Raw genomic sequence first — 26,339 nt, 5'->3', positions numbered from 1 at the left:
AACTAGAAAACTGTGGACACGGCTGGGTGAGGTGGCTCATGCCTGTAATCCCAGCACTTTGGGAGGCCGAGGTGGGCGGATCACCTGAGGTCAGGAGTTTGAGACCAGCCTGGCTAACACGGTGAAACCCCCATCTCTACTAAAAATGCAAAAATTAGCTGGGCATGGTGGCGGGCATCCCTACTCAGTAGGCTGAGGCAAAAGAATTGCTTGAACCCGGGAGGAGGAGGTTACAGTGAGCCGAGATTGTGCCATTGCACTCCAGCCTGGGCAACAAGAGTGAAACTCCGTCTCAAAAAAAAAAAAAAAAAAAGAAAAAAATAACTGTGTAGACTCTGACACTGTGGCATAAATATAAATGTACCCTAACATGCATGGGAACTTGTTTCTAACTTAGCATGTAGCGTGATGAAATGAAAAATAAGGTCTGTTATACCACATAAGGGTTCAGTTAAAGTCTTACCTCAGGATGTTTCTCCTCTGGTTTCACTTTTTAAATGAGTAATAAATCACACGTGTCATCTTTATAAGAAACTCCAGGATAGAGTTTTATTATTTTTTTTCTGGTCTTATATAAAAAAGAGTTGTACTTCTTTAGATTCAGGAGTGTGCCTTTTTTTTTTTTTCTTTGAGACAGGGTCTCATTCTGTCTCCCAGGCTGGAGTGCAGTGGTGTGACCACAGCTCATGAGGCATCCTCCCACTTCAGCCTCCTGAGTAGCTGACCACAGGCGTGTGCCACCACACCCTGCTAATTTTTAAAATTTTTTGTAGAGGTGGGGTCTTACTATGTTGCCCAAGCTGGTCTTGAACTCTTGGACTCTCACATGGACCTCCCAAAGTGCTGGGATTACAGGTGTGAGTCACCATGCCCGGCCAAGAGTTTGCCTTTATCACATAGTTATTGTAAACTGCATAACTAATCAGATTTCCCTTTTCACACAGGCTGCTAGGAAACTTTGAGTCAAATATACGGCCCAGCTCTGGCAAGCATTGAATTCTTTAAGCTCTGAATTTTTTTTTTCTTTTTTTCTTTTTTCTTTTTGAGATGGAGTTTCACTCTTGTTGCCCAGGCTGGAGTGCAATGGTGCGATCTCGGCTCACTGCAACCTCTGCCTCCCGGGTTCAAGTGATTTTCCTCCCTCAGCCTCCCAAGTAGCTGGGATTACAGGGGCCCACCACCACGCCCAGCTAATTTTTTGTATTTTTAGTAGAGATGGGGTTACACTATGTTGCCCAGGCTGTTCTCGAACTCCTGACTTCAGGCGATCTACCGGCCTCAGCCTCCCAAAATGCTGGGATTACAGGTGTGAGCCACTGTGTCTGGCTAAACTCTAAATTTTTTTTTTTTTTTTTTTTGAGACGGAGTCTGTCACTCAGGCTGGAGTGCAGTGGTGTGATCTTGGCTCACTGCACAGCCTCCTCCTCCTGGGTTCAAGCGATTCTCCTACCTCAGCCTCCCGAGTGGCTGGGACTACAAGCACAGGCCACTGCGCCCAGCTAATTTTTGTATTTTTAGTAGAGACGGGGTTTCACCATGTTGGCCAGGCTGGTCTCGAACTCCTGACCTCGTGATCTGCCCGCCTGGACCTCCCAAAGTGCTGAGATTACAGGCGTGAGCCACTGCACCCAGCCTAAGCTCTGAATTTTTAATCCCTATTCCTGGCTTGACTTTTTCTTTACTTTTGTCTCAGTTTTTTTTTTTTTCCTTTTTTTACTGAGTCTTGCTCTGTTGCCCAGACTGGAGGACAATGGCGCAATCTCAGCTCACTGCAACCTCTGCCTCCCAGGTTCAAGTGATTCTCCTGCCTTGGCCTCCCGAGTAGGTACGATTACAGGCACCCACCACCACGCCAGGCTAATTTTTGTATTTTTGTAGAGATGGAGTTTTACCATGTTGGCCAAGCTAGTCTTGAACTGCTGACCTCAGGTGATCTACCCACCTCAGCACCCCCAAAGTGCCGAGATTATAGGTGTGAGCCACTGGGCCCAAGCCCTTTTGCCTCCGTTTTAATTTCTGTCTTGTTATAAACTTGTAAACCACCATAAACCCTTTCCAGATCAAGATGGAGATTAGACCAGCAGATGTGTCTTGTCTAACCTCCTTTTATACGCAAGTTGAAGAGGTTGTACTGAAAACAACATGGAAGACTACTGGACATTGCACATTGAAATTAAGGTCATCTGTTTTTTTTTTTTCGAGATGGAGTTTCGTTTTTGTTGCCCAGACTGGAGTGCAATGGCTTAATCTCGGCTCACTGCAACCTCCACCTCCCAGGTTCAAGCGATTCTCCTGCCTCAGCCTCCCGAGTAGCTGGGACTACAGGCACATGCCACCACATCTGGCTAATTTGTGTATTTTTAGTAGAGATGGGGTTTCACCATGTTGGCCAGGCTGGTCTCCAACTCCTGACCTCGTGATCCACCTGCCTTGGCTTCCCAAAGTGCTGGGGTTACAGCCACCACGCCCGGCCTAGCCCAGGACATCTTTTTTTCTTCCTCCCCAAAAGGAAAACTACCCAGTCTGAATGAGTATCTTCTAAATCATTTTTAGATTTTGGAAGTCTCAACGTCAAGACTCAGGCATTTTGTTTGTCTTTTGAGACAGGGTCTCACTCTGTTACCCAGGCTAGAGTGCAGTGGTGTGACCACAGCTCACTGCAGCTTCTACCTCCTGAGTTCAGGCGATCCTCCCATTTCAGTTTCCTGAGTAGCTGGGACCACAGGCGCATACGATCACAGCCGGTGAATTTTTTCATTTTTTATAGAGATAGGATCTCCCTATGTTGCCCAAACTGGTCTTGAACTCCTGGGCTCAAGTGATCCTCCCACCTCAGCCTCCCAAAGTGCTGGGATTATAGGCATGAGTCACCACGCCCAGACTTTTTTTTTTTTTTTGAGATAGAGTCTTTCTCTGTTGCCCACGCTGGAGCACAGTGGCATCATCTTGGTTCAATGCAACCTCCACCCCCTGGATTTAAGTGATTCTTGTGCCTCAGTCTCCTGAGTAGCTGGGATTGCAGGTAGCGCGCCATCACACCCAGCTAATTTTTGTATTTTTAGTAGAGATGGGGTTTCACCATGTTGGCCAAGCTGGTATCGAACTCTTGGCCTCAAATGATCCACCCGCCTCAGCCTCCCAGAGTGCTGGGATTACAAGCATGAGCCACCCCACCTGGCCTGTTTTGTTTTTTGAGATGGGGGTCTCACTGTGTTGACGAGACTGGTCTCAAACTCCTGGGCTCATGCAATCTTCCCGCCTCAGCCTCCAGAGTAGCTGTGACTACAGGCACGCACCACCAATTCTGGTTAAGCCTCAGACATTTTTGATCTCTGATCCTCTGTAATCACCCATCCATGAGTCAAGAGGGGACTCTTGATATAACTGCCTGGGTAGGGAAGATCATGGGGTAGCAGAAAATACCAGGGAAAAACACATATAAACACTTACATCAAAATATTATTCATCGGTTTAAGGATACTATTTATTTATTTGTTTATAGATGGAGTTTCGCTCTTGTCACCCAGGCTGGAGTGCAATGGTGCAATTTTGGCTCATCGCAACCTCTGCTTCCCAGGTTCAAGCGATTCTCCTGCCTCAGCCTCCCGAGTAGCTGGGATTACAGGCATGTGCCACCATGCCTGGCTGATTTTGTATTTTTAGTAGAGACAGGGTTTCTCCATGTTGGTGAGGATGGTCTCGAACTCCCAACCTCAGGTGATCCGCCCGCTTTGGCCTCCCAAAGTGCTGGGATTACAGGCGTGAGCCACTGCACCTAGCCTAAGCATAATATTTTTAAAAAGAAAAAAAAAAGACTACTTTTAGAACACCTTTATTTTTATTTTAATTTTTTTTGAGATGGAGTCGCACCCTGTCGCCCAGGCTGGAGTGCAGTGGTGCAATCTGGGCTCACGGCAACCTCCACCTCCCAGGTTCAAGCAATTCTCCTGCATCAGCCTCCTGAGTAGCTGAGACTACAGGTGTGCACCACCATGCCCAGCTAATTTTTGTATTTTCAGTAGAGACAGGGTTTCACCATGTTGGCCAGGCTGGTCTTGAACTCCTGACCTCAGGTGATCCGCCTGCCTTGACCTCCCTAAGTGCTGGGATTACAGGCATGAGCCACCGTGCCCAGCCCACCTTTATAGAAAATTGAATTTATAGAAAATTTATAGAAAAATTGAACAGATAGTAAAGGAAGTTCCCATATATTTTCCTCTCACTGTTTCTCCTATTATTAACATCTTGCATTAGTGTGGTACATTAATTACAATTAATAAGCCAATATGAACACATTATTAGCTAAGGTCCATAGTTTAAATTAAAGTTGACTTTTTTTCTTCTTTTTTGTGACAGGGTCGTGCTCTGTTGCTCAGGCTAGAGTGCAGTGGGACGATCTTAGCTCACAGCAGCTTCAACCTCCCAGAGTCACGGTATCCTCCTGCCTCAGCCTCTTGAGTAGCTGGGACTACAGGCACGTGCCACTACACCTGGCTAAGTTTTGTATTTTTTGTAGAGGTGGGGTTTTGCCTAGGCTGGTCTCGAACTCCTGAGCTCAAGCAATCTGCCTGCATTAGCCTCCCAAAATGCTGGGATTACAGGTGTGAGCCACTATACCTGGCTTGTTATCTTCTAGAAGTTTCATAGTTTTCCATTTTCCATTTAGGTCTATGATCCATTTTGAGTTAATTTTTGTGAAAGGTGTAAGGCCTGTGTTTAGATTCCTTTTTTTTTTTTTTTTTTAATTGAGATGGAGTTTCACTTGTCACCCAGGCTGGAGTGCAATGGTGCGATTTTGGTTCACTACAACCTCTGCTTCCCAGGTTGAAGCAATTCTCCTGCCTCAGCCTCCCGAGTCGCTGGGTTTACAGGCATGTGCCACCACACCTGGCTAATTTTGCATTTTTAGTAGAGACGGGGTTTCTCCATGTTGGTCAGGCTGGTCTTGAACTCCCTACCTCAGGTGATCTGCCTGCCTCAGCCTCCCAAAGTGCTAGGATTACAGGCATGAGCCTCCGTGCCTGACCTAGATTCTCTCTCTCTCTCTCTTTTTTTTTTTTTTTGCCTATGTACATCTAATTGTTCCTAACTCTTTGTTAAAAAGACTGTCTTTTCTCAATGTATTGCCGTTGCTCCTTTGTCAAGGATCAGATGGCTGTATTTGTGTGTATCTATTTCAAGGCTCTGTATTCTGTTCCATTAATTTATTTGTCTATTCTTTTGCAAATACCATACTGCCTTGATTATTGTAGCTTTATAGTAAGTCTTGAAATTGAATAGTGTCAGACCTCTGACTTTGTTCTTTCTCTTCAGTATTGTGTTGGTTATTCTGGGTCTTTTGCCTTTCCATGTAAACTTTAGAATCAGTTTGTAGAGATCCACAAAATAACTTGCCAGCCTTTTTGTTTTTTTTAATTGGGATGGCCTTGAGTCTACAGATCAGGTTGGGCAGAATTGTCATCTTAATAATATTGAAACTTCTCATTCGTGAACATGGAATATTTCTCCTTTTATTTTTATAGGTTTATTCCAAAATATTTCTTTCTTCTATTTTGGTGTTAATATAAATTGTATTGTGTTTTAAATTTCAAACTGTGGCCGGGTACTGTGGCTCACGCCTGTAATCCCAGCACTTTGGGAAGCCAGGGTGGGCAGATCACCTGAGGTCAGGAGTTCGAGACCAGCCTGGCCAACATGGTGAAACTCCATCTTTACTAAAAATACAAAAAATTAGCTGGGTGTGGTGGTGGGCACCTGTAGTCCCAGCTACCTGGAGGCTGAGGCATGAGAATCGGTTGAACCCAGGAGGTGGAGGTTGCATTCAGCCCAGATTGGGCTACTGTGCTCCAGCATGGGTGACAGAGTGAGACTCTGTCTCAAAAAGTAAATAAGTAAAAAATAAAAATAAATTTCAAATTGCAATGGTTCATGCTAGTGTTTAGGAAAGCAATTGACTGTTGCATATTGGCCCTGTGACCAATGGATTCTGCAACCTTGCTATAAGGCTTATTAGCATTAGAAGGTTCTTGTTGATTTTTTGGGCACAGAGACATTAATGCCATCTGTGAGGAAAGACAGGTTTTTTTTCCTTACCAACGCTTATACCTGCCCCCTACTTCTTCTTCTTTTTATTTATTTATTTATTTATTTTATTTGACAGGGTCTTGCTCTGTCACCCAGGCCGGAGTGCAGTGGCATGATCATGGCTCACTGCAGCCTTGACTTCCTGGCATCAAGTAATCCTCCCACTTCTGCCTTTCCAGTAGCTGGGACTATAGGTGCACACCATCATGCCCAGCTAATGTTTCTTTTCTTTTTTTCTTTCTTTTTTTTTTTTTTGAGTCACAGTCTTGCTCTGTTGCCCAGGCTGGAGTGCAGTGGCTTGATCCCACTGCAACCTCTGCTTCCCAGGTTCAAGGGATCCTCCCACATCAGCCTCCCAAGTAACTGGGACTACAGGTGCACACCACCATGCCCAGATCATTTTTCTGTTTTCATAGAGACAGGGTCTCAGTATGTTGCCCTGGCTGTTTTTGAACTCCTGGGCTCAAAAGATCCTCCCACCTCGACCTCCCAAAGTGCTGGGATGAAAGGCATGAACCACCTGCACCTGGCCTTTAAAATTTTTTTTGTCTTCATATTTTATTGCATAAGTTAGGATTTTCAGTGTGATGTTTAATAGGAGTGTTGAGAGTGGATGTAATTTTCTTGTTCTTGAATTTAGGGGGAAAGCATGTAGCTTGTTACCACTATGTATGATGTTAACTGGTTTTTTTGGTAGATTTTATCAACTTGAGGAAGTTTCCCACTATTCCTAGTTTTCTGAGAGTGGTTGTTCATTTAACATGAATGAATGTCGGGTTTTGTCAAATGCATTTTTCTGCATCAATTGATATGATCATATGATTTTTCTTTTTATTCTGTTGATGTGATGAGTTACATTAATTTATTTTGAATGTTGAACCAGCCTTGCATACCTGGAGTAAATCCCACTTAGTCATGGTGTATAATTCTTTTTATACATTGTTGGATTTGATTTTCTAATGTTTTGTTGAGGATTTTCACATCTATGTTCATGAGAGATATTGATCTGTAGTTTTCCTTTCTTATAATGCCTTTCTCTGGCTTTGGTATTAGGGTAAAGCTGGCCCCATTCAATGAGTCAGGAAGTTGCTCTAAAATGTGCACCTGGGATTTGTCTTAATTAGGTGTGGTAAGGTGACAGACACACAGACAACTGTCTTTGAAAGAAGAACTTATTATTTGTGTTTCCCAGGAGAAGGGGGTATGCAATAGAGGGCCACATGGGGAAGCACCAAAGTAGGTCAAGAGGCAGAGTGAGCCAGGGGACAGCCCGGCCCAGAGCCTATGTTGTGTTTTCCATGGGAAAGGCAAGGCAGGGCAAAGGAAACAGTTTAGGATTAGCCGGTTAGAAGAATTCCAGTGGGCTTTGTGGCATAGAGGCTGTCCCTAGTTGTCTGGTACCTGACCCTGGGTTGATTTAGGGAAAAGAAAATATTGTCTTGATGTCTGAGAATTAGATACAAAGGGTGGTTCAGGGTATGGACTCTGGATTGCAGGACAGGTGTTAAACAACTTTGGCCATTAGTTTGGCCCTGTGACTAATGGATGTGAAACAGACAAATATAGACTAAGAAAACACAAAACAGAAGTACTGTCACTGCTTCTATTTTCTGAAAAAGATGAGAGGAAATTGATATCATTAAAAACATGTTTGTTAGACTTCACCACTGAAACTCTCTGGGCTTGGTGTTTTCTTTTATGGAAAGCTGTTATTTATTGATTTTTTTTTTTTTTAAGACGGAGTCTTGCTCTGTCACCCAGGCTGGAGTGCAATGGAATGATCTTGGATCACTGCAACCTCTGCCTCCTGGGTTCAAGTGATTCTCCTGCCTCAGCCTCCCAAGTAGCTGAGATTACAGGTGCCTGCCACCATGCCCGGCTAATTTTTTGTATTTTTAATAGAGTCGGGGTTTCACAATGTTGGCCAGGCTGGTCTAGAACTCCTGACCTCGTGATCCATCCGCCTGGGCCTCCGGAAGTACTGGGATTATAGGCGTGAACCACTGCGTCCGGCCAGATTATCGATTTTTGATTTTTCTTCTTTTACATTTATATGTAATGCTATAAATTTACCTTTAAGCACTGCTTTCACTATAGCCTACAAATGTTGATGAGTTGTAGTTTCTATTTTTTTTTTTGAGATGAGTCTCACTCTGTTGCCCAGGCTGGAGAGCAGTGGTGCGATCTTAGCTCACTGCAACCTCCACTTCCCAGGTTTAAGCGATTCTCCTGCCTCAGCCTCTCGAATAGCTGGGATTACAGGTGCCCGCCATCACACCCAGGTAATTTTTGTATTTTTAGTAGAGATGGGGTTTCACCATATTGGCCAGGCTGGTCTCCAACTTGTGACCGCAAGTGATTCACCCGCCTTGGCCTCCCAAAGTTCTGGGATTATAGACGTGAGCCCCCGCGCCTGACCTGTATTTTCATTTTTATTTAGTTCAAAATATGTAAACATTTCTCTTGACAGCTCTACTTTCACCTATTTATTTGGAATATTTAAAATTATGTTGTTTATTCTCCATATATTTTGGGATTTTCCAGCTATCTTTCTCTTACTGGTTTTTAATTTAATTCCACTGTGGTCTCAGAACATATTTTGTATTATTTCTATTCTTTTAAATTTGTTGAGGCATGTTTTGTGGCCCTGAATATGGTTTATCTTGGTGAATATTATATGTGAGCTTGAGTATAATGTGTATTCTGCTGTTGCTGGATGAAATATTCTATAGATGTCAATTAGATCCAATTGATTGATGATGCTGTTCAGTTCAACTATATCCTTACTGATTTTTTGCCTCATGAGTGGGTCAATTACTAATACAAGGGCGCTGAAGTCTCCAACTAAAATGGTGAATCTGTCTATTTCTCATTGCAGTTCCATCAGTTTTTGCTTCACATATTTTGATGCTCTGTTGTTAGGTATATCTAGGTTAAGAATTTGTTATATCCCTCTGGAAAACTGACTCCATTGTCATTACATACTGCCTTCTTTATCCATGATATTTTCCTTGTTTTGAAGTCTGCTTTGTCCAAAGTTAATATAGCTATTCCAGTTTTCTTTTTGGATTAGTTTTAGCATAATATATCTTACTTCATTCTTTTATTTTTAATTAATCTGAGTTTTCATATTTAAAGTGGATTTCTTGTATACACCATCTAATTGGGGTTCTTTTAAAAATCCACTCTGATGATCACACCATCAGAGTAGATTTAAAAAATGGTTCAGATTTAAAATGACTATTGATATAGTTAGATTAATATCTACCATATTTGTAACTTTTCTATTCATGTCACATTTTTTTTTCTTGCTCTGTTGCCCAGGCTGGAATGCAGTGGCGCAATCTTGGCTCACTGCAACCTCCGCCTCCCAGCTTCAAGAAATTCTCCTGCCTCAGCCTCCCCAGTAGCTGGGACTACAGGTGTGCACCACCACGCCTGTCTAATTTTTTATATTTTTAGTAGTGATGGGGTTTTGCCATGTTGGCCAGGCTGGTCTTGAACTCCTGACCTTATGTAATCTGCTTGCCTCAGCCTCCCAAAGTGCTGAGATTACAGGCATGAGCCACAGTGCCTGGCCACGTGTTATTTCCTTTTTTTTTTTTTTTTTTTTTTTGAGACGGAGTTTCGCTCTTGTTGCCTAGGCTGGAGTACAATGGTGCGATCTTGGCTCACTGCAACCTCTACCTCCCAGGTTCAAGCGATTCTCCTGCCTCAGCCTTCCCGAGTAGCTGGGATTACAGGCATGTGCCACTACACCTGGCTAATTTTGTATTTTTAGTAGAGATGGGGTTTCTCCATGTTGGTCAGGCTGGTCTCGAAACTCCCAACCTCAGGTGATCCGTCTGCCTTGGCCTCCCAAAGTGCTGGGATTACAGGTGTGAGCCACCTCTCCTGGCCTATTTCATTTTTTATTGTGGTAAAATATACATAACATAAAATTTGTCATTTATTATTATTATTATTTTTGAGATAAGTCTTAATGCTGTTGCCCAGGTGGGAGTGCAGTGCTGTGATCTCAGCTCACTGCAACCTCTGCCTCCCGGGTTCAAGTGATTCTCCCACCTCAGCCTCCCGAGTAGCTGGGAGTAGAGGTGCAGTCCACCATGCCCGGCTAATTTTTGTATTTTTAGTAGAGATGAGGTTTCAACTATGTTGGCCAGGTTGGTCTCGAGCTCCTGACCTCAAGTAATTCACCCACCTCGGCCTCCCAAAGTGCTAGGATTACAGGTGTGAGCTACCGCGCCCGGCCCCAAAATTTGTCATTTTAACCTTTGTTTTTTTTTTTTTTTTGGACAGGGTCTTGCTCTGTAGCCCAGGCTGGAGTGCAGTGGCATGATCTTGGCTCACTGCTACCTCTGCCTCCCAGGCTTAAGGGATCTTCCAACCTCAGCCTCCTGAGTAGTTGCAACTACAGGTGCACACCACCACACCTGGCTCCTTTTTAAAGTTTTTGTAAAGCTGAGGTCTCACTATATTGCCCAGGCTTATCTGAAACTCCTGGGCTCAAGTGATCCACCTTTGTCTCCCAAAGAGTTGGGATTATAGGTATGAGCCACGATGCCTGACAAATTTTATTTTATTTTATTTTATTTTATTTTATTTTATTTTATTTTATTTTATGAGTATTGTCCTGTAGCCCGGGTTGGAATGCCTGGAGTGCAGTGGTGCAATCTCGGCTTACTGAAACCTCTGCCTCCTGGGTTCAAGAAATTCTCCCTGCCTCAGCCTCCTGAGTAGCTGTGATTACAGGCATGTGCCACCATTCCCAGCTAATTTTTGTATATTTAGTAGAGACGGGGTTTCACCATGTTGACCAGGCTGGTCTTGAACTCCTGACCTCAGGTGATCCACCCACGTTGGCCTCCCAAAGTGCTGGGAATACAGGTGTGAGCCACTGCACCCAGCCATGCCTGACAAATTTTAACAATATTTAAGTGTATAATTCAGTGGCATCATGTACACTCACAATGTTGTATAAACATCACTGCTGGACCAGGTGCGGTGGCTCACACCTGCAATCCCAGCACTTTGGGAGGCCGAGGTGGGCGTATGACAAAGTCAGGAGTTCGAGACAAGCCTGGCAAACATGGTGAAACCCTGTCTCTACTAAAAAATACAAAAATTAGCGGGGTGTGGTGGCGGGCGCCTGTAGTCCCAGCTACTTGGGAGGCTGAGGCAGGAGAATTGCTTGAACCGGGGAGGTGGAGGTTGCAGTGAGCCGAGATCGGCCACTGCACTCCAGCCTGGGCGACAGGGCGAGACTCCATCTCAAAAAACAAAACAAAACAAAACAAAAAAACACTGTTTGTCTGTAGATTTTTTCACCATCCCAGAAACTCTACCCATTAAATAACAACTCCCCATTTTTCCCTTGACTTAGTCCCTGTAAACTCTGTACTACTTTCTCTCTCTCTAATTTGGGCTATTGTAGGCAACGATATAAATGGACTCATACAATATTTGCCCTTTTGTGTCTGGCTACTTCCACTTGTAAATAACGCTGCAGCACTTCACAAGTGTTACAAGTGGTGCAGGTACCATTTATGCATTCACAATTCCTCCTTCCCATCCTTTATAACATTGCGGTTATTCAGTTCACTTATACATATGCTACAATTGCCTAATACATTGTTGCTATTAGAACTTTTATCAGTTATCTATTAGATTAATTAAATATAAGAAAAAGGATTTCATTTTACCTTCACTTATTCCTTCTTGGATCCCTCTCTGAAGAACTTCTTTTTAGCATTTCTTTTTTGTTGCTTTCTGGCCTGGTGTGGCCCTTAGGTATTTAATACTACAGTACTCTCCGAATTGTTTCTGCTTTAGTCAAGTCATGGAGCAGTGGAAACAAAATATAAAATATGTTCCAGTTCTCTGCTGTCACTCCAGAGATGACCACCAGATGGCGCCCGTTCCCACTTCCTAAGGCCTCTTGTCTTCCGCACTGTAGCCGAGACACGCACGCGGGGTACCTGCAATCCGCTGATGGCTGCCGACTGCAGGCTGGTAGTTGAGTTCGTCAGTCTCCCTCCAACCCTGCATGTGTTTAGGACTCTGTGTTTAGGACTCTGTGTTTAGGCGTCCCTTGTAGGAACCAGGGCGGCAGGCTTTCCTCGGGAGCCTGGACGCCTCAGGTCATCATATAGTGATGATGATGGGGGGCCCGCCGGTGAGAGGGATCAGAGGCTGGCGGCACACCCCTCTTAGCACTGGCAGCCATGCCATGCAGGGCCACCCCACTATCCTGCAGGGTCACACACGCACGTCCCTCTGGACCAGGGAAGCTACGCATATGGGTGCAGCTGGGGGTAATTACAGACTGTAGGAGTGGTGGGGTCTGTGGGAGCGCAAGCTCGTCTCGAAGGTATTCATATCCAAAATTGCTTAAGACGCTGTGCTGCTGGCCCGGCACGATGGCCGTAATCCCAGGATTTTGGGAGGCCTTGGCGGGAGGATCACCTGAAGTCAGGAGTTCGAGACCAGCCTGGCCAACGTGGTGAAACCCCGTCTCCACTAAAAATACAAAAATTAGCCAGGCGTGGTGGTGGGCGCCTGTAGCCCCAGCTATTCGACAGGTTGAGGCAGGGGAATCGCTTGAACCTGGGAGGCGGAGGTTGCAGTGAGCTGAGATCACGTTATTGCACTCCAGCCTGGGAGTGAGACCCCGTCTCAAAGAAAAACAAACAAACAAACGACAACAACAAAATGTGCTGGCCTCAAAACGCACATCTGTAAACTACTTACCACCTTTAAAAAGTCTGGCGCGGGATAAAGTCCAAACGCGTTAGCAAGGCCCTGGGGAGCTTCATAGCTCTTCCCACCCTCCTTTCCATCCTGTCTCCCGCCTCTCTCCAATGCACTTTATGCTGTGTCCAGACTGAACGTGCCACGCCCCTCCACGCCCTTTATCCAGGGCGTAAGCCCTTTGTCCGGAAGGCCCTTTCTCCCCGTCTTCATCTCATTCAAGATCCAGCTGACGTGTGGCCCGGACTCCCCGGTGAGCTGTGGGTACATCCCAGGCTAGCTGCTGCAGGACCGTCGCGCCGCTCAACTCCAAGGAGCACCGTTTGCTCTGGAATGTGTGAGAATGGCGCCCCCTGGTGGCCCGGGAGTTGTGCAACGCGGCTGGGCACGCAGCCAGCGCTCACTGCAACTTGTCACTCGGGTCACCCTTCTCCGAGGCCACCTCCACAGCTGGCCACCAGAAGGCACCCTTCACCTTTCCGGGGCCTCCGTATTCATAAGCGAATTGATGACTAGGGAACCGATTTATGCATGGTGGGTGGCGCTGTTGGGTCTCAAGCTTGCCTTTCTCTGCCTAGCCCCGGGACCTCCTGAACCCAGTAGAGGCCTACCTTGAGGTGTATTTCTGCCCCTCTCTCCCCCATAGCTGCTCCTGAATACTCCTCAGCCACAATTTCTTCCCAGGTGGACAATATGGGCTCAAGAAATTGCTCCCTGAGTCATCAGATCCTCTCATGATGCTTAAGCTTTAATACAACATCCCTGCATGCCCCACTTGCCTAGACCTGCCCTGGATCATCAGTCTGTGCCCTCTTGGCTTGGGGAGGCCAAGAATGGGGCCTGCCTGTGTGTGGGCCAGGCAGACAGCCTCCTAGAGAGGTGACTTAGAGGCTCTGGAAGGCTCCCTCGGCTCCCTAAACCTGTGGGCAGGTGGAGAGGACCCAGCGCTGAACATCTCCCAGAAGAGATGGGAACAGCTAGTGGCTGAAGGGACATGCATCATATTCTCAGTAGCGCCTTTAGAATTTCTAAAAAAGAAGAGGCTCAAAGGCAGCAATCTGGTTATGTTATGGGTGGAGGGTGTCCAGGTTCTTGGCAGTTTGAACAAAGGATTGGACAAAATGCACAAACAAAGCAAGGAAGGAATGAAGCAACAAAAGCAAAAATTTATTGAAAACGAGAGTACACTCCACAGGGTGCGAACAGACCAAGCATAGGATTTTCTGGGGTTTAAATACCCTCTAGAGGTTTCCCACTGGCGACTTGGTGTACACTCTAAGTAAAAGAAATAGTGGCCCACTATCAGTCTGATTGGTTGCAGAAATTAACCAATCAGAGGCTGAAGTGAAGTTACAAAGTAACTTACACCTTTGTAAGTGTCTGATTGGTTGTGGAAAGCAACCAATCAGAGGCTGAAGTGAAGTTACAAAGTTACACTCCTATGCAAATATCTGGTTGCAGAAATCAACCAATCAGAGATACTTTCAATTTTCCGTCGGCCCCACAGAAAAGGGGGGTGGGGTTTGCAAAGGGAGTAGCCTCCAGTCCTTTTGTTACTTAGGTGTGGAAAGTTGGGGTTTTCCTTTTGATTTAGTTCTAGAAAGTCAGCGTGAATCGGCCTTAGGTTCCCTGCCTCCAGACCCTATTTTTCTGCTTCAGTCAGGAGGGGGTGGTCTGGGGATGTGGGGGGCAACTATGGGTTTGCCTTGAAACTCTATATGCCTTGTAAGGATGAAGCGTTTGCAGCTTAATTAAAACAGAAACATTTCCAGAGATGCCTTTATTCATGTTTATATGAGGATATTATAAGTGCTTATTTTATTTAAGAGGTTGATGAAGATTATAGTGGGGAAAAGCATCCCTTGGTACAGTTCAGGTCCTGGTGACAGGTTTGTTCACGAGCAGTGTTGGTGGTAAGGAAACTCTGATGGGTTTTAGCATTTTAGTGGGCTAATCCAGGAAGGAATGGGCTGCACCGGGATTACGTGGGTTGACCCCAGGGGAAGAGAATGAGAGGAAGTGTCAAGACAAAGGGAGAGAGGTTTGGGAAACTCCCCAGGACTGGGAGGAGCCAGAAGCCTGCAGTTTCCTCAAGGACCTGAGACTCTCACCCACTCTCTGTGTTCAGGGAAGTAGCCTCCCCTGTAGGAGCACTGATGTGGTAGATATAGTTAATAGTGGGGTGCAGGACCAGATTGAATTTCTTTTTTTTTTTTTTTTTAGACAGGGTCTCACTCTATTGCCCAGGCCTGGAGTGCAGTGGCTTGATCTTGGCTCACTGTAACTCCTGCCTCCCAGGTTCAAGTGACTCCCCTGCCTCAGCCTCCTGAGTAGCTGGGATTGCAGGTGTGTGTTACCACACCCAGCTGCTTTTTTTTTTTTTTTTTTGAGACGGAGTCTCACTCTGTCGCCCAGAGTGCAGTGGTGCGATCTTGGCTTACCACAACCTCCACCTCCCAGGTTCAAGTGATTCTCCTGCCTCAGCCTCCCAAGTAGCTGAGACTACGGGCGCACACCACCATGCCTGGCTAATTTTTGTATTTTTAGTTGAAACGGGGTTTCACCATGTTGGCCAGGATGGTCTTGATCTCCTGACCTCGTGGTCCTCCCACCTCGGCCTCCCAAAGTGCTGGGATTACAGGCGTGAGCCACAGCGCCCGGCCTAGGAAATGAATTCTATACAGAATAATCAGAGTGGTTCCTGTGCCCTTTGGCTGCTTGTGCAGTTAAGCACATTTATCATGACTATTATAAATTATTTCCTTTTAATTATAGCCAAGTTAATCATACACAAAATTTTTTATAGCTTTTCTTTTTATGAACCTTATCATGATTTACACAGACAATTTACAACATGCTTGAACTTTTTGTTTTGTCATAAATTTCCCTCTTTCTTAAATAAACAGTCATTTTACTGTAGGACAAAAATTTACCACATAAGATTATTTCTCATACAAAATTATTCTCTTTTCTTCTTAATCTTTGTTACCAAAAATACATCTTTACATCTGTGACTCTCTTTACATCTCTTTCACCTATTTACTAGTTTCTTTTTACCTTCTTTCATAAATAGGCTTTACATAATCTCTGTATTACATACAATTCTTTTTGTCAAAAGAATATAACTTTATGTCTTCCTTATATTTTTTTAAATGTGCATATTTTATACATAGAATTATATAACTAGAATCAATCCCTCCCTCCCTCCCTCCCCTCCCTCCCCTCCCTCCTTTCTTCCTTCCTTCCTTCTTTTTTTTGAGACAGGGTCTTGCTCTGTTGCCCAGGCTGAAGTGCTATGGCATGATCATGGCTCAATGAAGCCTCCAGCTCCTGGGCTCAGGTAATCCTCCTGCCTTAGCCTCCTGAGAAGCTGGGATTACAGGTGCCCGCCACCACACCCAGCTAATTCTTTGTATTTTCAGTAGAGACAGGTTTTCACCATGTTGGCCAGGCTAGTCTCGAACCCCTGACCTCCCACCTTGATCCACCCACTTTGGCCTCCCAAAGTGCTGGGATTGCAGGTGTAAGCCACCAAGCCTGGCCTAAGAATAAATTTATTATGAGTAGACTCATGCAATTATGGAGGCTGAGGAGTCCCACAATCTGCTTTCGACAAGCTGGAGACCCAGGAAAGCCTGGGCTATAATTCAGTCTGGGTCCAGAGACCTGAGAACCAGAGGAAATGATGATATGAATCTCAGTTTTGAGGCGGCAGAAGATAAAAGATGTCCCAGTTCAAGCAATGAGGCCGCATAAATACTGGGGAGGGCAATCTACTGGGCCCACCAGTTCAAATGCAATTCTCATCCAGAAACACCCTCACAAATATACTCAGAAACAACGTTTAATCTGGGTCCACTCAAATTGACCATAAAATTAACCATCACAGGCTCATACCAAGATGAGCATATTTTGGCTGGGTGCAGTGGCTCACTCCTATAATCCAGCACTTTGGGAGGCCGAGGCGGGTGGAGCACCTGAGGTTGGGCATTCAAGACCAGCCTGACCAACATGGAGAAACCCTGTCTCTACTAACAATACAAAATTAGCCAGTCTTGGTGGCACATGCCTGTAATCCCAGCTACTTGGGAGGCTGAGACAGGAGAATTGTTTGAACCGGGAGGTGGAGGTTGTGGTGAGCTGAGATCGCACCATTCCACTCCAGCCTGGGCAATGAGCGAAACTCCATCTCAAAAATAAAAAATAAATAAAAATAAAGATGAGCATATTTTGCTTTACCAGTTAATATGCTGAATTATGACAACAGATTTCCTAGTATTGAAATTTTATTGCATCCTTGGAATAAACCTTATTTGGCCATGTTTTGTTATTGTAATATACTTTTTTGATTAAATTTACTAGTATTTTATTTAGAAGTTTGCAACAATATTCACAGTAGATTTTGTTTTCAGGATCATATTTGCTTTGTAAATGTTTTGGAAGGCATGTTAGAGTGCTCCAGAGAGAAAGAGCCAATAGGATATGTATATATACAGTTGGCTTCTCATATCCAGGGTTTCTACATCAGGGAATTCAATTAATTGTGGATTGAAAATATCTGGGAAAAAAGCTTTTATACTGAACATGTATAGACTTTGTTTTCCTTGTCATTATTTCCTAAACAATACTGTTTAACAACTATTTGCATAGCCTTTACATTGATATTATAAATAATCTCGAGATGATTTAAAGTGTACTGGAGGATGTGCATAGGTTATATGCAAATACTATGCCATTTTATAGCAGGGATTTGACCATCTCTGGATTTTGCTATCTGCAGGGAGATAAGAATTCCTGTCCTACAGGATATATAACAAAATAGTGATTGTTTTAAGACGCTAAGTCTTGGAGTTATTTGATATGCAGCAATAAGCCAGAACAAAATGTGTTTAAGAATATAGTTTGGCCGCGCACGGTGGCTCATGCCTGTAATCCCAGCACTCTGGGAGGCCGAGGCGGGTGGATCACCTGAGGTCAGGAGTTTGAGACCAGCCTGACCAACGTGGTGAAACCCCGTGTCTCCTAAAAATACAAAAAATTAGCCAGGCATGGTGGCGGGCACCTGTAATCCCAGCTACCTGGGAGGCTGAGGCAGGAGAATCGCTTGAAACTAGGAGGCAGAGATTGCAGTGAGCTGAGATCATGTCATTACACTCCAGCCTGGGCGACAGAAAAAGACTCTGTCTCCAAAAAAAAAAAAAAAAAAAAAGAATATGGGCCGGGCACAGTGGCGCATGCCTGTAATCCCAGCACTTTGGGAGGCCGAGGCGGTCAGATCACGAGGTCAGGAGATCGAGACCATCCTGGCTAACATGGTGAAACCCCGTCTCTACTAAAAATACAAAAAAAAAAAAAATTAGCTGGGTGTGGTGGTGGGCGCCTGTAGTCCCAGCTACTCAGGAGGCTGAGGCAGGAGAATGGCATGAACCCGGGAGGCAGAGCTTGCAGTGAGCCGAGATCGCACCACTGCACTCCAGCCTGGGTGACAGAGCGAGACTCCGTCTCAAAAAAAAAAAAAAAAAAAGAATATGATAGTCCTAGCTACTTGGGAAGCTGAGATGGGAGGATAGCTTGAGCCCAAGAGTTCAAGGCCAGCCTGGGCAACATAACCTGGAACCCATCTCCCATAGATATGAGGGGCGACTGTATATAGATATATGAGAGGGGATTTATTAGGGGAATTGGCTCATGAGATTAGGGAGGTGAAAAGTCCCACGACAGACTGTCTGTAAGCTGGAGACCGTGGAATACCACAGTGGGGCTCAGTTCAAGTCCTAAAGTCTCAGAACCAGGGCAGCTGATAGTGTAATTCTCAGTCCAAGGCCAAAGGCCAAGAACCTGGGGGCTGCTAATGTAAGACCCAGAGTCCAAAGGCCAGGGAGCCTGCAGTTCTGATGTCCAAGGTCAGAAGAAGAAGGATGGCCCAGCTTCAGGAGAGAGAAAAAAAGAATTTGCCTTTTCTCTGCCTTTTGGTTCTATCTGGGCCCACAGCCAATTGGATGTTGTCCGCCCACACTGAGGGCAGATCTTCCTCAGTCAGCCCACCCACTCACATGCCAATCTCCTGTGAAAACACCCTCACAGACACACCTAGAAAGAATGCTTTACCAGCTCTCTAGGTTCTCGACTCCCCACTTTATTCAGTTTTGCTTTCTGTAGTTTTAGTTACTCCTGGTCAACCTTGGTCTGAAAATATTAAATTAAAAATTCCAGAAATAAACAATCCGTAAGTTTTAAATGGCTCATCGTTCTGTGTAACATGATGAAATCTCATGGCATTCCACTCTGTCCCTCCCAGGATGTGACTCATCCCTTTGTCCAGTGTTTCCACGTTGTATACACTACTCACCCGTTAGCTAGTCTCTTAGCAGCCATCTCAGTTACGAGTGACTGTCACAGCATCACAGTGCTTGTGTTCAACTGTTTAATTGTTCTATTTTATTATTAGTTGTTAATCTCTTACTGTGCCTAATTTATAAATTAAACGTTATCATAGGTGTGTACAGGGTTCGGTACATGTGTGGCTTCAGGCATCCACTGGGGATCTTGGAACATACCCTCCATGGATAAGGGGAGACTAGTGTATTACTTAATCAAGTCAAGTTGACAGCTAAAATTAACCATCACAGGAAGCATATGTCCTTTTCTAACTACTGAAACAAATTTTGAGGTATTGAAGTTATTGCTTTCTTGCAGCTTTGAAAGCAATCGTCTGTGAAACCATCTGGGCCTGGCACTCTTCTAAGTGGTAACAATGTGTGGGTGTGCACGCGTGCGCATGTGTGTATGTGTGTATGTGTCAGAGAGAGAGAGAGAGACATTATTCGGTGCATAGATTTATGGCTGATTTAAAAATATTGGACTGTCTGGCCAGGCATGGTGGCCCACGCCTGTAATCTCAGCACTTTGGGAGGCCAAGGCGGATGGATTACCTGAGGTCAGGAGTTTGAGACCAGGCTGGCCAACATGGTGAAACCCCATCTCTACTAAAAATACAAAAATTAGCCGGGCATAGTGGCGCAGTACCTGTAGTCCCAGCTACTCCGGAGGCTGATGCAGGAGAATTACTTGAACCTGGGAGGCGGAGGTTGCAGTGAGTCGAGATGGCACCACTGCACTCCAGCCTGGGTGACAGAGTGAGACTCTGTCTCAGGAAACAAAAACACGACCAGGCGTGGTGGCTCACGCTTGTAATCCCAGCACCTTGGGAGGCTGAGGCAGGCGGATCACCTCAGGTCAGGAGTTCAAGACCAGCCTGGCCAACATGGTGAAACCCCATCTCTACAAAAATACAGAAATTAGCTGGGCATGATGGCAGGTGCCTGTAATCCCAGCTACTTTGGAATCTGAGGTGGGAGAATCGCTTGAACCCAGGAGGGGGAGGTTGCAGTGAGCTGAGATGGTACCATTGCACTCTAATCTGGGTGACAGAGAGACTCCGTCTCAAAACAAAAACAAAACAAAACAAAAAAAGAAAACAAAAACAAACAAAAACCCAGTGACTTATATATCATAATAGAAGCTTATTCATCTTCCTGATAAAGATTAAAGATGTCTGGAAGGAGTAGTCCACGCCTGGTATAGCAACTCTGAGATCCCAGTCACCTTAATGCTTTCTGCTGCACCATCCTACATCAGTTTCCATCCCTAGTGTCATTTCGTGGCCCTGGGTGGGAGTGGGAGCTGGGCTTCTGCATTCAGTGGTCCTTGTGGTGGGCCAGGCCTGGCATGGGATGTACTGGTGCCCAGATCCAAGGAGAAAATGTCTGCTAGAAGCCAGGTGCCTGTGCAGATGAAATGGAAAAAAAAAAAAAAAACCTCAAACAGTGTGATGGTTAATTTTATGTGTGAACTTGGCTATGGTGTCAGCTATTTGGTCAAACACTGTCTAGATATTGTTGTGAAGGCATTTTGTAGATGTAATTAACATGTTCAATTAGTTGACTTGAAGAAAAGGAGATAGTCTTTGTGGGTGAACCTCATCCAATCAGTTTAAGGTCTTCAGAGAAAAAACTGCAGTTTCTCTGAGAAGAAGGACTTCTATCTTACGACTATAATATGGAAGAACTGCTTGAATTTCCATCTTGATGACCTGTCCTATGGATTTCAGACTTGTTAACCCCTGCAATCATCTGACCCAATGATACAGGAGTTAAAAAGAAATTATTTAGGCAGAGAGTGAGGGGAAGGAAGTCCTCGGTAAGGTTTTCCTTTTAATGAAAAGCAGCCCCCATATCATTTTCTTTTCTAACAAAGAGCAGCCTGTAAAATTGAGCTGCAGACATAGACAAGCAAGCCAGAAGCCTGCGTGGGTGAATGCTGGCAGTTATGACAATAGGAAAATGTTACCTGGAACTAGGCAAATTCAAAATGGCGCTCCACCTTCCCTTCTCTTTGCCAGCCATGTGTACAGTAAGGAGCAGACAACATGGTGACCACCAAATGGAAAGCCCATTTTCACAATAAGATTAGGATGGGGTGGCCAGCCTTCCTGAGCACTACGTAAGCGTCACACCTGGTCCAACCAATCTGTGGGCCCTACGCAAATCAGACACCACCTCTGCAAGCCTGCGGAGCACTCCCATTCTGGGCCAGATTTCCCATTTGGAATTCCCTCTCTCTCGCAAGATAGAGAGCTGTTCTCCTTTCTCTTTCTTTTGCCTAGTAAACCTCGGCTCCTAAACTCACTCATTGTGTGTGTCCGTGTCCTTGGCATGAGACGAGGAACCCCAAGTATTTACCCCAGACAAAAACAACAACGGCACTTCACCAATTTCTTAAAATCTCTTTCACTCCGTGTGTGTGTGTGTGTGTGTGTGTGTGTGTGTGTGTATCTCCTATTGGCTCTGTTTCTCTGGAAAACCCTGATAGAACCAACGAATAATTTGGGGACTCAGGAACCACTTTAGCTATTACTATTGATGTCAACACATTCCAAGGCCTGTTTACACAATCCCTGAAATTCAGCTTCCTTACTCAGCCCCCAAGCCATGTTGCTGGGTTGCATGCACCATGGCTTTCAGCCTAGACTGTGTGAGCGGTAACTATTATTGTGTCCATGGTTTGGTTTTCTATTCACTTTAATGGATCGTTCTAAAGGTAAATGTTTCCTGAATAGCCCAGTTTACTAGCTTTTATTTATTTCTTCAAAATTAGGGCACAAGATAAAATAATTTCATGATAGGTTAAATCCATTGTTGGTTTAGACCACATGCGTGATCTTCCACAGAGTTGGACTGAGTACTACTTATATATTACTCTCTCTCTCTCTTTGGAGACAGGGTTTCACTTACTTGCCCAGGCTAAGTAGAGTGACGCGATCATGGCTCACTGCAGCTACCACCTCCCAGGTTCAAGTGATCGTTCTACCTCAGTCTTCCAAGCAGCTAGAACTATGGGCATGTGTCAAGATGGCCAGCTAATTTTTGTCTATTTTTTGTAGAGATGCCAGTGGGCGGGGGGTGTCTCACTATGTTGCCCATGCTGGTCTCCAACTCCTGGACTCAAGTGATCCACCTGCCTCAGCCTCCCGAGGTGCTGGGATTACAGGCATGAGCCACTGTGTCCAGTCCACTCTTTCTTTTTTAAAAATCTATTTTCTGTGAATGATGAAATATTCGGATTCTTATTTAAAAAATTTTTTTTTCAGGCTTAATTCACTTTATTTTTCTTGTATAAAAACCCTATGTTGTAGCCACATCTGAAGCCTGGGTCCGCTGCACCGAGACTCTGGTGTGGGTCTTGACGAGGTGGTCAGTGAATTCCTGATAGGGAGACTTGGTAAATACAGTCTCCTTCCAGAGGTCGGGGGTCAGGTAGCTGTAGGTCTTAGAGATGGCATCAAAGGTGGCCTTGGCGAAGTTGCCCAGGGTGGCAGTGCAGCCCCGGGCTGAGGTGTAGCAGTCATCGATACCAGCCATCATGAGCAGCTTCTTGGGCACAGGTGCGGAGACGATGCCAGTGCCCCTGGGTGCAGGGATGAGGCGCACCAGCACAGAGCCGCAGCGGCCTGTCACCTTGCAAGGGACGGTGTGGGGCTTGCCGATCTTGTTCCCCCAGTAGCCTCTGCGCACGGGGACAATGGAGAGCTTGGCCAGGATGATGGCCCCACGGATGGCTGTGGCCACCTCCTTGGAGCACTTAACACCCAGACCGACATGGCCATTGTAGTCTCCGATAGCAACAAACGCCTTGAACCTGGTGCGCTGGCCGGCACGGGTCTGCTTCTGCACCGGCATAATCTTCAAAACCTCATCCTTGAGAGAGTCCCCCAGGAAGAAATCAATGATCTCAGATTCCTTAATGGGCAGGGAGAAGAGATAGATCTCCTCCAGGGACTTGATCTTCATGTCCTTGACCAAGCGGCCCAGCTTGGTGACAGGCATCCACTCCTTATCCTCGGCCTTGCCTCCGCGAGCTCCGCGGCCTCGGCACGGCCCCGTCCACTCCCGCGACCCCGGCCCCGGATGCCACTGCCGAAACCTCCGTGGAAGCCACCGCGGTTCCCTATCCCATGGCCACCAGGGCTCTGGGCCCCCCCGCTGCACCGGCGTCATCCGCCATTTGGTGTTTTCTCGGAGAAGAAGCAATTTTTAATTTAATTTTATTTTATTTTGGGGCAAGATCTCATTTTGTTGCCCAGGCAGGAGTACAGTGGCACCATCGCGGCTCACTGTAGCCTCGACCTCCTGGGCTCACGTGATCCTCTGACCTCAGCCTCTGGCTGATTTTTAAAATATTTTGTAAAGATGAGGTCTCACTATGTTGCCAGGCTCGTCTCAAGATCCTGACCTCAAGTGATTCTCCTGCCTCAGCCTCCCAAAGTACTGGGATTACAGGTTTGAGCCATTGTATCTGGCAGGACATTTTTTTTTTTGAGACGGAGTTTCGCTCTCATTGTCCAGGCTGGAGTGCAATGGCATGATCTCGGCTCACTGCAACCTCCGCCTTTGAGGTTCAAGCGATTCTCCTACCTCAGCCTCCCAAGTAGCTGGGCTTACAGGCGTGAGACACCACTCCCGGCTAATTTTTGTATTTTCAGTAGGACGGAGTTTTGCCATGTTAGCCAGGCTGGTCTCAAAATCCTGACCTCAGGTGACCTGCCTGCCTCAGCCTCCCAAAGTGCTGGGATTATAGGCATGAGCCACCACGCCCAGCCTATTTTTTGTATTTTTTTTTGTAGAGACGGGCTTTTGCCATGTTGGCCAGGCTGGTCTTGAATTCCTGGGATCAAGTGATCTGCCTGCCTTGGCCTCCCAAAGTGCTGGGATTACAGGTGTGAGCCACGATGCCCGGGCTGTCTTTTGTAATCTTGACATTTTTGAAGGATATAGGCCAGTTGTTTTATATAATGTCCTTTAAATTGGGTTTGTCTGGTGTTTCCTCATGATTGGATTCAGGCTATGCATTTTTTGTCAGCAGTATCATGAATGTGATGCTGAATTCATTTCAGTGTATCATATCAGGAAGTACGTAATGTTGGTTTATTCCGTTATTGGTGATGCCAATTTTAACATGATTTTAAAAAATGATAGCATGTGACCTAGATTTGAAACAATCTCTGTCTTCCCTTTCCCTAGCCAATGTGATTAGATCGGGGCGGGCAGTTGACCTAATTCAGGCCAGTGAAAGTTAGGCCCAGGGTTTTTGTTCAAACTGGATGAAGAGAAATTCTCTCTTCTGCCGCTTCTACACCTGGGAGGAATATAATTTTTGAGCTGCAGCAGCCATAATGTCGCCATGAGGGGAGGGTCAGCCTGAGGATGAAGATACAGAGCTGAGAGATAGAGAAAGAAAAACCAGGTCCCTGTGACGTCATTGAACTATCTCCATCAGCCACACCTGAAGCAAAACCTACTCCATGGACTTCCCATATACGTGAGTAAATAAATCCTTTTTGCTTAAGCAAGGTTGGATAGAGTTTTTGCTTTTGCTTTTTTCGTCACAAACCAAATAATCCTCATCATACGATTATACACCTCACTCATTTTTTTCCTAAGAACATGCCAGATCAAAAAACCTGAACATCTGAGTAGCAGGAAACACAATAAGAGATAGCTTGGCAGGAGATAACATTTGGACAAACAAAGCGACTCAAAGAATGGGTTCTTTTTAGCTACAGATGCTTCCATGAAGGTCTTGGGGCTGCATTGATGTAAGAGTGGGCATTTTTCCCTGCAGCATTGTCTTCTGAGAGAATAAGGTTTTTCCACAATATAGAATAAATTCCTAACTATGGATTGTTTGACAACCTTGAATAGCATTTGTAGGGCCAGTGGTTTTTATCTTCTAACCAATAGTCCTTCTGATCTTGTTGACTTCTACGAAGCACACCAACGTAATATTGAAGAAATAGACACGGATGCCACAGGACTTCAGAGTAAATGTAGAGTAAAGCCAGGGCTGAGCCAACAGTGCTGTCTCTCGGATACCTCAGTCTTCTGAATTTCACAGGGGAGGTAAAAAATCATCTTAGTGTCCTTTTAGTTTTAAACCAGGACACATAGTTCCATGATCCCATATTTTGTCATTAATCTGAGTCATCTCATCATTCTATCTTTGAGAGAATTACGTTACAAAGAATAAATTTTGTAGCCAGGCATGGTGGCTCATGCCTGTAATCCCAGCACTTTGGGAGGCCGAGGCAGGTGGATCACCTGAGGTCAGGAGTTTGAGACCAGCCTGGCCAACATGGTGAAACCCTGTCTCTAGTAAAAATACAAAATTAGCTGGGCATGGTGGCCCGCACCTGTAGTCCCAGCTACCCGGGAAGAATTGCTGGAACCCAGGAGGCGGAGGTTGCAGTCAGCTGAGATCGCACCACTTCACTCCAGCCTGGGCAACAGAGTGAGACTCCATCTCAAAAAAAAAAAAGAATCCATATTGTTTATCCTGATCAAGTACCTAGCATAGGACCCAGTACTTAGCAGATGCTTAATATATTGTGGTTGAATGAATGGAGAAAGCAATAGATCAATTAATAATTTTATTGCTTCTTCAATTTGTTTGGCCCTAACTAGCCATTAACTCCCACCAGTCCAGCCTGCTGTTCTCTCACTTTGTGCTTCTACCCACACCACCCCCAGTGTTAGCTTCCTGGGTTTTGCTTGATGCAGCTTCTATCATACTGCGATATCTTGTAAGTTCACCTTGCCCTTCACCGGGATCACCATAGGCACCAACTTTATTATGGCCTTGTTTTATTGTCTCTCCGTACAATATGTTGGCAATAAAACTAATTTATAATACTCACTTGGGAACTTGTAAAAAACACTTTCTCTCTCTCCAAAGCAGTATTGTGTCTCTCTGCGTACTTTCTGGGAAATGCACTGGTTATAGAATGCTTCAGTTTTCCCCTCTGAAACTCAAAGCAGAAAAATGAAGTCACATAGATAAATAAAAATTTATTTTCATCTGTCAGATTACAATTTCTGTAATTTCCCATATAATCCGAAGTCTTGCTAATTCTCCCTCTGCAATATCTTTTATATCAGCCCTGCTTTCCT

At 45.2% G+C, this 26,339-nt stretch overlaps 1 pseudogene, besides 10 other annotated features; it reads right to left on the bottom strand.

Annotated features, from left to right (window-relative positions):
- Window positions 7,368–7,437: an enhancer, noted in NCBI's record as "active region_16110". NCBI's record gives its function as "activates an Ori minimal core promoter by ATAC-STARR-seq in GM12878 lymphoblastoid cells {active_cell/tissue: GM12878}" and the evidence as "EXISTENCE:reporter gene assay evidence [ECO:0000049][PMID:35858748]".
- Window positions 11,968–12,017: an enhancer, noted in NCBI's record as "active region_16109". NCBI's record gives its function as "activates an Ori minimal core promoter by ATAC-STARR-seq in GM12878 lymphoblastoid cells {active_cell/tissue: GM12878}" and the evidence as "EXISTENCE:reporter gene assay evidence [ECO:0000049][PMID:35858748]".
- Window positions 12,459–13,120: an enhancer, noted in NCBI's record as "H3K27ac-H3K4me1 hESC enhancer chr2:85153187-85153848 (GRCh37/hg19 assembly coordinates)". NCBI's record gives its function as "activates a minimal SCP1, AML or CMV promoter by ChIP-STARR-seq in naive H9 embryonic stem cells {active_cell/tissue: H9 hESC(naive)}" and the evidence as "EXISTENCE:reporter gene assay evidence [ECO:0000049][PMID:30033119]".
- Window positions 12,658–12,707: an enhancer, noted in NCBI's record as "active region_16108". NCBI's record gives its function as "activates an Ori minimal core promoter by ATAC-STARR-seq in GM12878 lymphoblastoid cells {active_cell/tissue: GM12878}" and the evidence as "EXISTENCE:reporter gene assay evidence [ECO:0000049][PMID:35858748]".
- Window positions 14,055–14,104: an enhancer, noted in NCBI's record as "active region_16107". NCBI's record gives its function as "activates an Ori minimal core promoter by ATAC-STARR-seq in GM12878 lymphoblastoid cells {active_cell/tissue: GM12878}" and the evidence as "EXISTENCE:reporter gene assay evidence [ECO:0000049][PMID:35858748]".
- Window positions 18,619–19,818: an enhancer, noted in NCBI's record as "P300/CBP strongly-dependent group 1 enhancer chr2:85146489-85147688 (GRCh37/hg19 assembly coordinates)". NCBI's record gives its function as "activates an origin of replication core promoter dependent on BRD2, BRD4, P300/CBP, MED14 and CDK7 cofactors, with strong dependence on P300/CBP, by STARR-seq in HCT116 cells {active_cell/tissue: HCT116}" and the evidence as "EXISTENCE:reporter gene assay evidence [ECO:0000049][PMID:35650434]".
- Window positions 18,619–19,857: a biological region, named in NCBI's record as "P300/CBP strongly-dependent group 1 enhancer GRCh37_chr2:85146489-85147688". NCBI's record gives its function as "regulatory_interactions: TMSB10".
- Window positions 18,658–18,847: an enhancer, noted in NCBI's record as "active region_16106". NCBI's record gives its function as "activates an Ori minimal core promoter by ATAC-STARR-seq in GM12878 lymphoblastoid cells {active_cell/tissue: GM12878}" and the evidence as "EXISTENCE:reporter gene assay evidence [ECO:0000049][PMID:35858748]".
- Window positions 18,718–19,306: a transcriptional cis regulatory region, noted in NCBI's record as "candidate enhancer chr2.3019 targeted for multiplex CRISPR interference". NCBI's record gives its function as "positively regulates TMSB10 gene expression with high confidence in K562 cells {active_cell/tissue: K562}" and the evidence as "EXISTENCE:mutant phenotype evidence [ECO:0000015][PMID:30612741]".
- Window positions 19,798–19,857: an enhancer, noted in NCBI's record as "active region_16105". NCBI's record gives its function as "activates an Ori minimal core promoter by ATAC-STARR-seq in GM12878 lymphoblastoid cells {active_cell/tissue: GM12878}" and the evidence as "EXISTENCE:reporter gene assay evidence [ECO:0000049][PMID:35858748]".
- On the bottom strand, window positions 22,481–23,420 carry RPS2P17 (ribosomal protein S2 pseudogene 17; annotated as a pseudogene).

This window comes from Homo sapiens, chromosome 2 (genome assembly GCF_000001405.40).
Source record: "Homo sapiens chromosome 2, GRCh38.p14 Primary Assembly".
NCBI lineage: Eukaryota > Metazoa > Chordata > Mammalia > Primates > Hominidae > Homo > Homo sapiens.
The sequence above is the reverse complement of the archived record's forward strand: the minus strand, read 5'-3'. Positions and strand labels throughout refer to the sequence as shown.